Consider the following 13,048-nt stretch of genomic DNA (forward strand, 5'->3'; position numbering starts at 1 on the left):
ACTTGCTTTTGCTGCCTTTCATGTATAGTTTTTCTGTCCTATTTTGTTTGTTTGTTTGTTTTTTGTTTTTGAGACAGGGTCTCACTCTGTTGCCCAGGCTGGAGTGCAGTGGTGCCGTCTCAGCTCATTGCAACCTCTGCCTTTCAGGTTCAAGTGATTGTCCTGCCGCAGCCTCCTGAGTAGCTGGGACTACAGGTGTGCACCACCATGCCTGGCTAATTTTTGTATTTTTTGGTAGAGACAGGGTTTCACCATGTTGGCCAGGCTGTTCTTAAACTCCTGACCCCAAGTGATCCACCAGCCTCGGCCTCCCAAAGTGCCGGGATTAAAGGTGTGAGCTATAGCGCCTGGCTTTGTGCGCTATTGAATTGAAGAATTTTATGCTTAGCTTAACCTCCAGCCTCAATCAGTTTTATCTCCTAAGATTTGCTTTAAAATGTACAAACAACTTTAAAAAAATCAGTTTTAAAAAATAGTTTAGATTGGAGCAACCACTTTTTCTGTTTTGATTGCTGACTCTTCAATGAGGGAACATACTCTGTTGAAAGGGGTATTCATATATATGTTTAACTTTCCAGCACTGCTAACACTTCTTTGTGTTTGGAGTACTGATCTGATTTAAATTGGTTACCTCTTCACCCCATCCATCTCCCAAAATCACACAGATAATACTTAGGTAGTTGACAGGTTCTCTCTTTTTTTTTTTTTTTGAGACAGAGTCTCACTGTGTCTCCCAGGCTGGAGTGCAGTGGCGCAATCCCAGCTCATTGCAACCTCCGCCTCCCAGGTTCAAGCAATTCTCATGACTCAGCCTCCCAAGTAGCTGGGATTACAGGCGCCCACCACTATGCCCAGCTCATTTTTGTATTTTTGGTAGAGACAGGGTTTCACCATGTTGATCAGGCTTGTCTCGAACTCTGATCTCAGGTGATCCACCCACCTAGGCTTTCCAAAGTGCTGGGATTACAGGCATGAGACACCGCACCCAGCAGTTTCTCTTTTAAGAGCTGAAAGGGAGTAGACCAAGCACAAAGACTGCTAATGAGTGTAAAACTTTTTGAATGGGTATGTTTGTATTTGGGACATTTTATTATTTTGTATAATGGGGTATGCCTCACCCTAACCCCTTTTCACTGGCACAGATATTGGAGAGTTATTGGCTAAAGGGAGGAACTCTTGGAGTTCTTTCATAATGTTTTTAAGGAAAACAAAATCTGCATTCCCTTGAAAGCAGACAGGTTTTTAAACTGCAGATCACCTACTAATCTGTCCTAGATTATATATCTTCAAGTCAGTGTATTTACCTGTATATGGAAATGAACTTTAGAGATAGTTCAATTTTTAAAGTATATCAATACCTGAAACCAAGATTTTGGATACTCATCCTATGGTATAGTGAGTGGATAGGGACCCAGAAGAGGAATGACAGAGAGGGACCCAGGATATCGGAGTTCTAGCGGCAAGTTCTGTCACTAATGTGTTTTGTGGCTTTGAGCAAGATTCCTAACCTTTCTATTTTTATTTCCTCATCTGTTAAATGAAGATTGTAATATCTATTATATTTACCTTGAAGGATTGTTGGGAAACTAAAGTCATATAACATGTAAAAAGACTTGGAAGTTTATAGCTTTGTACAAATATTATAATGTAAAAATAATGTCCCCTTTGTCTTTATGTTCTGTTGAAAACAATTTTAGGTGCATTCCCTTAATGGATCTGTATCACATAATATTTAACCTGATGATTTAATCCTGGTAAGACCATTAATATGTGTACAAATGCCATTGATCTTCTAAATTTGATAATTACCCAACTTGATGGCTAAATTGTTATTTGTATTTATGTTTATGATGTGCTTTAATCTAAGGAAAATATCCTGTCAAACTTAAGTGGAGCTTTAGTAATCCTGGCTGTCTGGTATCTGGTTTCTGTAGGAGTTGATCTAGAGCAGTCAAGAAAAGAAGAAGAGCAGCAGATGTTGCAGGATGCCCGCCAGTGGCTCAACAGTGGGAAAATAGAGGATGTGAGGCAGGCTCGCTCAGGGGCTACAGCCCTTCATGTGGCTGCTGCCAAGGGCTACTCTGAAGTCCTCAGGTATTGTCCATTTACATCAATCAGGAGTGGTTCACTGGGAGAAGATGGAATAGGTTTTGGAAGCAGAGGCTGAATTAGATTTTCCGCTATGACGTGTTTCCTTTTTTGTTGGTTTCCTCTCTGATTGTGCAGTCTTTTCTCACATTTTGCTGGTATTCATCCATGGATTGTCTCCCTCCCTCCTACCATTCCTCTAGCTTCTCACTAACATGTATGATGTGAAACAGAGTTGAGGTACATGGTCCTAGGAGGGGACTTCTTCCAGTTCTCTGATTTGTCATTAATATCCCTGCAACGACCTCTTCTTGTGACCTGTAATACTTGTGATCATTTGTTCCGTTTTGACTTATATAATTTCTTTTGTGTCATTAGATTAATTATATAGATCTTGAGTATGCGATGTCCAGCTGGCACAGGATAGCCAAACTTATATGAGGGATTTGGACTCTACTACTCTGTCTGTTCCATTTTTCCTTACATCCATACATGCTTCTTGTAGCTCTTGGTACTTAATGTTCACAGGCTTTCCCAAATACATGGGTTGCCAAAGGCATTATATGTGCAGTTGTTAACTGGACTCTTCCAGTATTTCATATTTCACCTAATGCAGGGTTTTTAATAGGTATAGCAGTGTTTTGGTGCTCCATTTCTGCCTGATAGCGCTATCCATAAGGGCCCCAATGTGGTTTGGGTCTTCAGGAGTCAAATCTTTTCTCTTCCATGCATACAAGTTAAATTATAGCTTTATAGTTAGCAAAAAATTGGAGATATGTGGGTATATGGTAAATATAGTGTCCTAGAAAGACCAACCAGAAGGCTAGTTGGGAAAATACCCTGAAGAGAATTGAGTCTTCATTTTATTTTATTTTTTTAAACTTTATCTTTATTGTTGACACTATTACAGATAGAGAGAATGACCACAGCCTATTAGAGTCTTCATTTTATATGTTACTTCTTCCCTGCACTGGAAAATGGAAAATGTACCTTTAACAGAGTTATGTGATTTGGCTAATTGAATTATGCTTTGGTTAATCTTAGGTACATACGTTTCCGTATACTCCCCTTGTATGGTGTAAAATGGATATGCCTAGGAAATATCTTATGACTTTTTTGAGAGGATTGGTAAAGGTCATCTATGATTGGTACGCAAAGTAGTTAACTATGAAACCCAAACTGTGCCTTAGAGGGCAGAAGTAATCATAAGACCCCTGTGGTTCAGGGCCAAAATCTGAAATATCAATTAGGTAATAGTGTATTTGCCAGAAAATTGTAATATACAGAAGATATATGTCTTGTTTTGGGTTTTCTTTTTAGACTTTTAATTCAGGCTGGCTATGAACTCAATGTTCAGGATTATGATGGCTGGACTCCCCTCCATGCTGCTGCACACTGGGGAGTGAAGGAGGCTTGCTCCATCCTGGCAGAAGCACTTTGTGACATGGATATTCGAAATAAACTGGTTAGTGAGCCTGAACCTCTAAAAGAACAACGAGATTGGTGGCTGGGTCTCTAGAATAAAAGGCTTAACATCTCTTTTCAATGGCAGTCTGACTGTTGTGAAATATACATCACTGGTAGCTATAATGTTACCCTCCACCACCCTGCCTCTGGCCCTATTAACACAGAGTTATGTTTGTTATTTAAAATAAAACTCCGTGGACCTTCTGATTGTATTTATGTTCAAGCCTCTAAAACAGGAAAAAAATATATTTGTTCTTGGCAAAAAATGAGCTTTGAGGAGCCTAATGTTATTGTCTGTGGTGAGGTATGAAAGATTTTATTGTTGCTGTATTCATGTGAGTCATTAAAATGTTATAATGACAAAGATCCTTGAGTTTGGCTGAAAATAGTGTTATTCGGTCTCACTTCAAACAACTTAGAAGCTCTGGAACTCCTATCCCTATGTCTACTGATTTTATTTTATTATTATTATTTTTGAGACAGAGTCTCGCTCTGTTGCCCAGGCTGGAGTGCAGTGGTGCGACCTCAGCTCACTGCAGGCTCCACCTCTCAAGTTCACGCCATTCTCCTGCCTCAGCCTCCTGAGTAGCTGGGACTACAGGCACACGCCGCCACGCCTGGCTAATTTTTTGTATTTTTTTTATTAGTAGAGATGGGGTTTCACTGTGTTAGCCAGGATTGTCTCGATCTCCTGACCTCGTGATCCGCCTGCCTCAGCCTCCCAAAACGCTGGGATTACAGGCATGAGCCACCATGCCCAGCTGATTTTATTTTAATTAAACTAATTTTTTTTTTTTTTTAATGGTAGAGATGGGGGGTCTCACTGGTTTCCCAGCTGGTCTCAAGCTCCTGGGCTCAAGTGATTCCCAGCCTTGCCACTTGTAATCCCAAACTCTGTGTTTAAAGGATTTGGTGTTTCTCGTTATGTGTCCTCTGTGATAGATGAAGGTATTATCATAATGTATGGTAGACTAGTTAGGGAAGCAGTTATTATTGGAATTAAAGGCAAAAAGTGAATATTGAATAATACTGAGTAATCCCAAATTGTTGGGATTACAGGTGTGAGCCACTGTGCCCAGCCCATATATGTACTGATTTTCTAGTAGTGCAGAGATATGGCCTTTTAATTAGTAGATATTCTTATCTGTGTCACATCTCTCCTGAACCCAGGTTTCATTCTCAGACTGTGGGTCAGGGTTCTTAATTATGCTGATGCTTCCTAAAAGAATTAACTTTCTTGTCAGTCCTCCCCTCACTTAAAGGAAGATGATTCCTGTGATTTAATCTTTATTAAACATGTGCCCTGAACCTCCCTCTGAAGTTTTGAAGAGCCCTTTATGGAATTTATCATAGCAATTAAGACCATTTTAGAACAGATACAAGTAGGGATTTCACTTGATTATTTGCCAGGTGGCAGTAAGGATTAGAAATGGTGTGATTTCTGCAGTACTGTTGTACAAACTCTATATTTAAAGGATTTGGTGTTTCTTGTTATGTGTCCTGTGTGATAGATGAAGGTGTTATCATAATGTATGGTAGATTAGTTTGAAAAGCAGCTATTATTGGAGTCAAAGGCAAAAAGTGACTTTTGAATAGTTCCCTACTAATAAAGTCACGTAATTGCTGCTTCTGTTTTCTATCAGTCATGGTGCTCCTTTTCTCTGCCAGGGCCAGACACCATTTGATGTGGCTGATGAGGGTCTCGTGGAGCATTTGGAGTTGCTCCAGAAGAAGCAGAATGTGGTGAGTTTCTGATTGGTGCTTTCAAAAGTTTTCTAATAGTTTGCAGTTCACACCAAGTATCTCAATCACTTGTTTCAGTTGTGTCTGCTGAGAGTTGAAATGGACATATCTGCATTCCAGAGATGTTAATTGTTCACTTCAGGAACTATAAACAGTCTGTTAGAAGAATATATCCCAGAAACCATTATTGTTCAGGTTTTTTGCTCATTATAAGATAGCCTTCAAGAAGCTGAAAGTTAAAAACAGCCACAAAAAACTAATAATTACCCTTGAGTTCTAGAAAATGAATGTGATATGTTCAAATCAGATGTTTTTCCAAATAGAAAGTACCAGAGTGGAGGATACCTCATAGCTTTTCTTTTTCTTATTGACTAAAAGACTATCTTTATTTAAGCACATTTATTACAGAGAAGAATATATTTCTTAAAAAATAAGTAAATACACATAATACTAAAACTGTCATTTCATATAGGAGAGTATTTGGTCAGTGATTCATACTTACTCCAGTTTTATGAAACATCTAGAATTCAGTCCTCCTTTCTCTGCTCCTCATTTTGAATCTTTTATTGTTTGGTCATGCATGTCTTTGGCTTAATTAGTGCTATACAGGAGAACTACATAAGTACGGTATTTTTGTTCAGACTGCAGAATGGAAAACCCACCCCATATACAGATGAAGAGTGAATAAGCCATATTTTTTACTCATAAAGCAGATGAATAATTTGAGTGGGGAGAATAAAGATTAATGACATTAGGGTGGGACATTAGGGGCCAAAAAAATCAATGACTTTTTTTGTTTTTGTTTCTTTTGCACGTGCTGTCACTCAGGTAATGTAAACTAAAGTTTAGGACAAATGTGGAAAACAGCAGTTCTGAATCAAAGAACTATATAGCTCAATGATGGGACAGATCAACCATACCTAATCTCTGTTGTGTTCAGCATTATGTCTGGTATGGTAAAGTGAAGATTCTGGTTATTTTAAGGCTCAGTGGAAAAGTCACATACATAAAACTCATACAAACACAACTTAAAGTTCATTTTGTTCTCTTTGTTGAGCAGTCAGGATCACTGAAACTAGGATTTTCAAATGCAGTGTCAATGCTGTTATTTAGCAGCAACAGCCTTCCTGATTATAAGTTGTATACTTTGCAGAGTTAGGTTCTTTTAATTTTAAAAACTTTTACTGAAATAAGTTTAGACTCACATGGAAGTTGCAAAAATAGAGAGTTCCTGTGTATTCTGTACCTAGCATGGTAAGGTTTTTGAACATCAATAGTATTATTCATGAAATAATATTTCTACACCAGTGGGAATAGTACTTATCTTTGCCCTCTGCATAACTTTGAGTTCCAGGAATATGAATACATTTTGTCTAGAGCATGCATCTAAATAGCAGACCATTTTCCCTAAGGGCTTATTTCCCATTCGGTACCTGTGTTTTCTTTAGAAATATTGCCAACTTATTTCAGTATATGAATCATAAAGAATTCTTTCAGGTTCCTTTTGGCTTTTTATCCTTCAGAATCTAGACTTTTTTTTTTGAAGATTGGGTTTGGATATTTGATAGGAGCAGTTTTATTGAAGTTCTTAACACCATGGCTTTTCTCTTCTACCTTGGATGAATTCTGTCATCTAAGGAGACCCAACTGATATGTTTCTCTTTTTCTCGGGTTCCCCACTACCTCTTTGGTGTTGGTCCTATTTTCTTCAGAATGACAGTACCATTTTGGTTCTCAATACTGCTGATTTTTCACCAATAGTCAACTTCTTCCCTTTTCTCTCTGTTTTCTCCATTTCCAGCTTCGAAGTGAAAAGGAGACACGGAATAAACTCATTGAGTCAGATCTGAACAGCAAGATTCAGAGTGGGTTCTTTAAGAAGTAAGACATTTAGGCTTGAGTAATGGGATGAGCTTTGCTCTGTGTCAGTGACATACTTAACTTCAGAATTTATAAAGTGAAGAAACTCTGTGTTTGTATTTAGCCGAGTGATCTATAAACTTGTGGGAAACTTGTGGGAAACTTTGTGGGACAAGAGAGTGGCATTGATATGTGAGGGAGACACTAAGGATGGTTGACTGTGTTTTAAACTTCAGAATTAATTGAGACTGTGTGCAGCATTTTAAAATCCTGGCTTAGGCGCTCTTAGTCTCAACTTTTGCCTCTACTTACTGTAAGTTTCATGAACTCAGAGACAATGTCTATTTTGTTTATGACTATACCAGTGCCTAGCATGATTCCTGGCATGTAATAAGTACTCAGTAAACATTTGTTAAATGATTTTTTTGAATATTTACCCACTGTCATCAAAATTCATAGTTCTTCTTTTTTCTGTGTGTTAAGCAGGCCAGATTTCCTTGAGCCATACTCTGTCGTCAAATACTAAATCTTAGTCTGCAAAAATGAAGGGTTTGGAAGAACACACAGATGTAAAGAAGAATTTGAATATGTTTCTGTTATTGCTTCCACATATAGGTTTATAGACTTGTTCCCTTTATTATACCTGATTATCATTTCTGAATTATACTCAAGTTGTCATCTTTAATTTAGCAAAGAGAAGATGCTCTATGAGGAGGAGACACCTAAGTCCCAAGAAATGGAGGAAGAAAATAAAGAATCTAGTAGCTCCAGCTCAGAGGAGGAGGAAGGTGAAGATGAAGCTTCTGAGTCAGAAACTGAGAAGGAGGCAGGTAATGCAAAGATGTTCATAGTGAAGATCCTCTATCTCCATAGTGTAAGAAGATTACTCCTTGTCAGAGAGCTAGCCAGGCCTCACAGGACTCCAAAAAGAGCTTGAAGTTTAGTTTTCAAGGATAAGATATCAAATTGCCAGTGACCACCTGATATAAAAACTGTGAGCTATGTTAGACTATATCTACCAATTCCTGTGTAGCCATATGATAAGGTGCACAAAGAATTCTTAGGTGAATGCTGGGTACGGTGCCTTAGCACTTTGGGAGGCCAAGTGCGGTGGCTTGCTTTAAGTTCAAGACAGCTTGGGCAACATAGCAAGACCCTGTCTCTACAAAAAAATTTAAAAAGAAAAGGTAATAATTCTTATGTGAGGAATCCAACTCTCCTTACTCCAGGTTGGTAAATGGCATAGAGACCAAATTCCAAAATGTCGGTATGCTGAGAGGCAGAGAAGATGAGATCTTGCAGAAGCTCTTAGGGTCAAACCAACTGGTGAATACTTGCATTTAATTCTCAGGTTTGTCTGATTTCCTAAACAGAATCCTAAAATCTTTTTTTTTCCCTCTCGTGTGAGTTGGGGAGTAAGGAAGGAACAAAATCATATTTACCTTTATGGCTATTATTGATAATATATACCTCATATAGGGCTTCTTTTTTTTTTTTGAGACAGAGTCTCGCTCTGTTGCCCAGGCTGGAGTGCAGTGGTGTGATCTCAGCTTACTGCAACCTCCGCCTCCCAGGCTCAAGTGATTCTCATGCCTCAGCCTCTCAGTAGCTGGGACTACAGGTGTGCACCATCATGCCCAGCTAATTTTAGTATTTTTAGTAGAGACAGGGTTTCACTGTGTTGGCCAGCTGGTCTCAAACTCCCGACCTCAAGTGATCCACCTGCCTTGGCCTCCCTAAGTGCTAGGATTACAGGCATGAGCCACTGCACCTGGCCCTAGAGCTTCTTAAGTTTATTGTTTGACAAGACAGGAACCCCAACAGTGAGAGTGAGATGTTGAACATGGTCAGACCAACAAGCTATAAAATAATCCACAGGTTTTGATTTATAGTCAGGCAAACACTGAGAAAAGAATAGTGTACCTAAGCCCCATTTTCACTGCCATATTATCCCTCCAAACTGGAGTCCATGATGAGATGAAATGTTTCTGCTAGAGGGGAAAGGGTCACACATTAAGTTTACAATGGAGTCTGTGTTTTCCTCTGAACTCTGCCATGGCTGGCCTACCTATAATGAAGATATTTAACTTACTCTGTTGTCTGGCCACCAGCTCCTGATGAGGTCTGGCTTTGCTGATATGATTTCTCTCCATGATGGGAGAATACTACCCTTCTTCATGTCTCAGTCTCTGAGGCTCACTGAATGTCAGTCACCAAAAGGAAGTTAGAGAACCATCAGTTCTATAGAGAAGAAAGGCACCAGCTAAGTTTACAGTATAGGAGATGACCTTTTATTCATTGAGACTTGAACTTCTATTATTAATCATGCACAGTATGCTCCGGAAATGGTATTGTAGTACCTGTCAGAATTTATAAATGTTCATCTTTTTGATATTTGATTATTTATTGAGTACTTACATGTTCTAGGCTTCAAATATTTGCAACAAGTATCTGAACTTGCTCTATTCTAGATCACTTTTGTTAGTTGCCAAGGTATGAGAAAAATTGGAGGGATCTGCCTGAACTATGGTCATTGCTTTGTGATTTGTACCCTTGCGTCAGATCTCTTGTTCTCTGTAGCCAGGTCTTCACATTGCTATTGGCATAAACACCCACAGTACCCTTTTGATTATGCTACACCTCTGTTTAAACCTATGACCACCTCCCTCACTCTATCTTTGCCTACAGAGTAAATAAACCCCAAGCTCCATAGTCTGGCCTTCAGGACTTTTCATAATCTAGCTCTAGCTGACCTTTCCAATGCTGTACATAGATAAGGACATATTTTGGCCAAACTGGACTGCTTAATTTCCTCAAACCTGCCCTGAGCTTTCCTGCTTCTGAACATTTGTACCATTTAAGCCGAAATTCATTTCAGGCCATCAATGCTCATTGAGTGATTTCTGTAGAAAACTATAGGATCTAGCAGGTTGAAAAAGTCTTTCTTTAGGTTTTTCTAATATAGGAAGCTGAAAGGAAATGGGCCACCTCACTGTTCTTCTACCCCACGACTGTTCTCTGTTTATGTCCCTCTAGCACTGCCTACTTAACTCTGCTGTAGCACTCATCATTTTGGCTGGGAACTCTGGGTTTATTATTGAACTCCCAGGTCTCAGCTCAATGCCTGGTACATAACAGGCATTCACATTCATTAAATGTTTTTTGTTGAATATATCCAGTCAGGGAATAGAAAGGTGTATACATGAATAAACTACATGTCACATGAGAGATATAAGTGTAGTCAATAGGATTCACTAGTAAGACACACTGTATCTAGTTCAGGGAATTACAATAAAACTTTACATTTGTATAGTGCTTTTTACTTTGCACCACACTTAAACATTTTTCTTTAATCCTCACAACCATACTCTGAGGTATGTATTATTATCACTACTTTTTAGAATGGGAAATTGACACTGTAGGAGGTTAGGTGAATTAGGTTTCATAGCTGGCAAGTGGTGTGCCTAAGATCTGGACTTTGATCTGGGACTCCCCAGAGTAGTAGTAGGGACCCAGTGGAAATTATCTGCATAAGAAGTGAAAGGTAAAACTGTAGAAAAGGATGAGATCCCCAAAGGACAGATTATAGATGGATTTTATATATGATATAATAATGTGGAGATAGTTTTCAGTTTTTATCTGAAAGTTGGAGTTGGAGCCTACCAAGATGGGAATAACATTGAGTTTATTTTTTTCTGCCAACAGTTGCAAGAGTTTACAAGTTGTTAGTTTATATCCAAGCATTACAGGGCCTTAATAATCTGTTTTGATAATGGGCAAATCTTTTCTATTAGCAGAAAAGGACATAGACACAAAGATAAGATTTTTATACTAGTACTTGTTAATTCTCTTGTCTTAAATAACAGATAAAAAGCCAGAAGCCTTTGTCAATCATTCCAACTCTGAAAGCAAGAGTAGTATCACAGAGCAGATACCAGCACCAGCTCAAAATACCTTCTCTGCCTCTTCTGCTAGGAGGGTGAGTACTTTTTACTTAATTTGGGAATTAGATTTCACCCTACTGCAGTAGCACACATCTAGAAAGGCCTTAAAGGTACATTCTTGCAAAATAATAAAAATACATTTTTCCTGTCATAATCTGCTCCCATAACAAAAAACACAGGCTGGGTGGCTTAAACAACAGACATTTATTTCTCACAGTTCTGGAGGCTGGGAAGTCTCAGATCAAGGTACCAGCCAGTTCAGTTCCTGGTGAGGGCCCTCTTTCTTGACGTGAATATAACCACCTTCTCGCCATGTCCTAACATGGCAGAGAGAAGGAGCTCTGGTGTCTCTTTCTCTTCTTATAAGGTAACCAGCCCTATCAGATTAGGGCCCCACCCTATTAACCTCATTTAAGCTTCATCACTCCTCACAGACCCTTATCTCCAAATATAGTCACATTGGGAATTAGTGCTTCAATATATGAATTTTTGGAGGACACAAACATTCAACCCATAACATTGCCCCCCAAAATCTATAAGATTATTACCAAACAAATTTGGCTACCATGTGTTAAGATAACATAAGATAGAGTAGTCTGAGACCAAAGAGATTTTGTCATTTGCCTATTTTCTTTGTATCTGAAGTTAAGATGCCTACATGTAAAGTGTGGACTGGGCTAGAAGATATCTAGCATCCAGCATTCATTGTTTTGGTGATTATTCTCCTTTTTCTATTTCTCCTTTAAGACTTTCATGAGTAAAGTCTTTATATCTTATGATGAGTAAAGGGCAGAGGTAGAAATAACTTGTTGAAATACCAGAGGCCCCTCCTTCTGTAACTTTGTGCAGGCCTCTGAGAATCTGTAGGCTTCTAGTCAGTGAGAGTGAGTTGAATGATGACCCTGCTCTACAAAGTATAAAAGTCATTTTGAGGTTAAGAATTGATTTGAGTTCTTTGGAATGAAGCTGTTGAAAAAGCTCTGTGGTTATATAGGTATGAACTTAATGATCTTCTTAGCACTTCATGAATTGGAAAGATGGGCTTGTGGTATTCTTGTGGAAATGAGAGAACAAAGGCCTGGCTACTTATTTATCCCTAGAAGCATCATCGTGAATAATTAAAGAGGCTTTGAATAAATGTAATTCTCACTCATATTCAGTCATTTAGGTGTACCTCATATACTGCCACTGCTTCTAAGGATGCCTAGACTTCCTACTTTTTTCAATAGAAAAATACTAAATTAGACAGGGTGCAGTGGCTCACACCTATAATCTCAGCACTTTGGGAGGCCAAGGTGGGCAAATCACTTGAGCCCAGGAGTTTGAGACTAGCTTGGGCAACATCGGAAAACCCCATCTTTACAAACAATAAAAACATTAGCCAGGCATGGTGGCACACACCTGTAGTCCCAGTGACTTGGGACTGGGAGGCCGAGGTGGGAGGATCACTTGAGCCCAGGAGGTCAAGGCTGTAGTGAGCTGTGATTGCACCATTGCACTCCAGCCTGGGCAACAGAGTGAGACCGTGTCTCAAAAACAACAACAACAACAACAACAACAACACACACACATTCTACTTTGCTAAAATGATGCTGGGGAAGGCATTTTCCCCCTTAGAATCAGAGTAGCTTGTAAAAAGCTGACATTATTGAACCCCTAAAGCTGGAAGGGGTACGTAAATGTGTACATTCAGATGACTGATGAAAAGAGAAAATCTATATGTGAGTTGGAGATGAGTGATTTAATATTTTTATTTATTTTCGCTGTATCAGGCAGTAAAGGTAGCCTGATATTGGAAGAAAGGCTTAAATCTTCTTGAAAAGGTCCTGGACCTCAGGAAGGGTCTGTTGGCTTGTGTTCCAGAGACTAGCTGTACCCCAAACTGGTCCTTGGCCTAATGCTGGTCTATGATGTTTCCCTAGTTTATGGCAAAATGAGATAATTAA

At 39.0% G+C, this 13,048-nt stretch overlaps 1 protein-coding gene across 19 annotated transcripts in view, besides 1 other annotated feature; it reads left to right on the forward strand.

The window, feature by feature from the left end:
- PPP1R12B (protein phosphatase 1 regulatory subunit 12B) overlaps window positions 1–13,048 on the forward strand; it is a 244,004-nt gene that overhangs the window by 74,933 nt on the left and 156,023 nt on the right. For 17 of the 19 annotated variants that reach the window (XR_001737195.2, XR_007060689.1, XR_007060690.1 and 14 more), the window contains exons 4-9: window positions 1,935–2,094; window positions 3,409–3,553; window positions 5,224–5,298; window positions 7,100–7,179; window positions 7,849–7,988; window positions 11,025–11,137. Coding sequence is in view for 11 of the 19 variants with exons in the window: in NM_001331029.2 (NP_001317958.1) it covers window positions 1,935–2,094; window positions 3,409–3,553; window positions 5,224–5,298; window positions 7,100–7,179; window positions 7,849–7,988; window positions 11,025–11,137 (713 nt within the window). In the remaining 8 variants the exon portion in view is untranslated. Of the gene's footprint in view, window positions 1–1,934; window positions 2,095–3,408; window positions 3,554–5,223; window positions 5,299–7,099; window positions 7,180–7,848; window positions 7,989–11,024; window positions 11,138–13,048 lie in introns of those variants that run through there. The other 2 variants (NM_001167858.2, XR_007060692.1) reach the window with 2 other exon arrangements.
- Window positions 6,576–6,776: a silencer, noted in NCBI's record as "peak654 fragment used in MPRA reporter construct". NCBI's record gives its function as "represses an SCP1 promoter by STARR-seq MPRAs in K562 erythroleukemia cells {active_cell/tissue: K562}" and the evidence as "EXISTENCE:reporter gene assay evidence [ECO:0000049][PMID:32103011]".

This window comes from Homo sapiens, chromosome 1, assembly GCF_000001405.40.
Source record: "Homo sapiens chromosome 1, GRCh38.p14 Primary Assembly".
Lineage (NCBI taxonomy): Eukaryota > Metazoa > Chordata > Mammalia > Primates > Hominidae > Homo > Homo sapiens.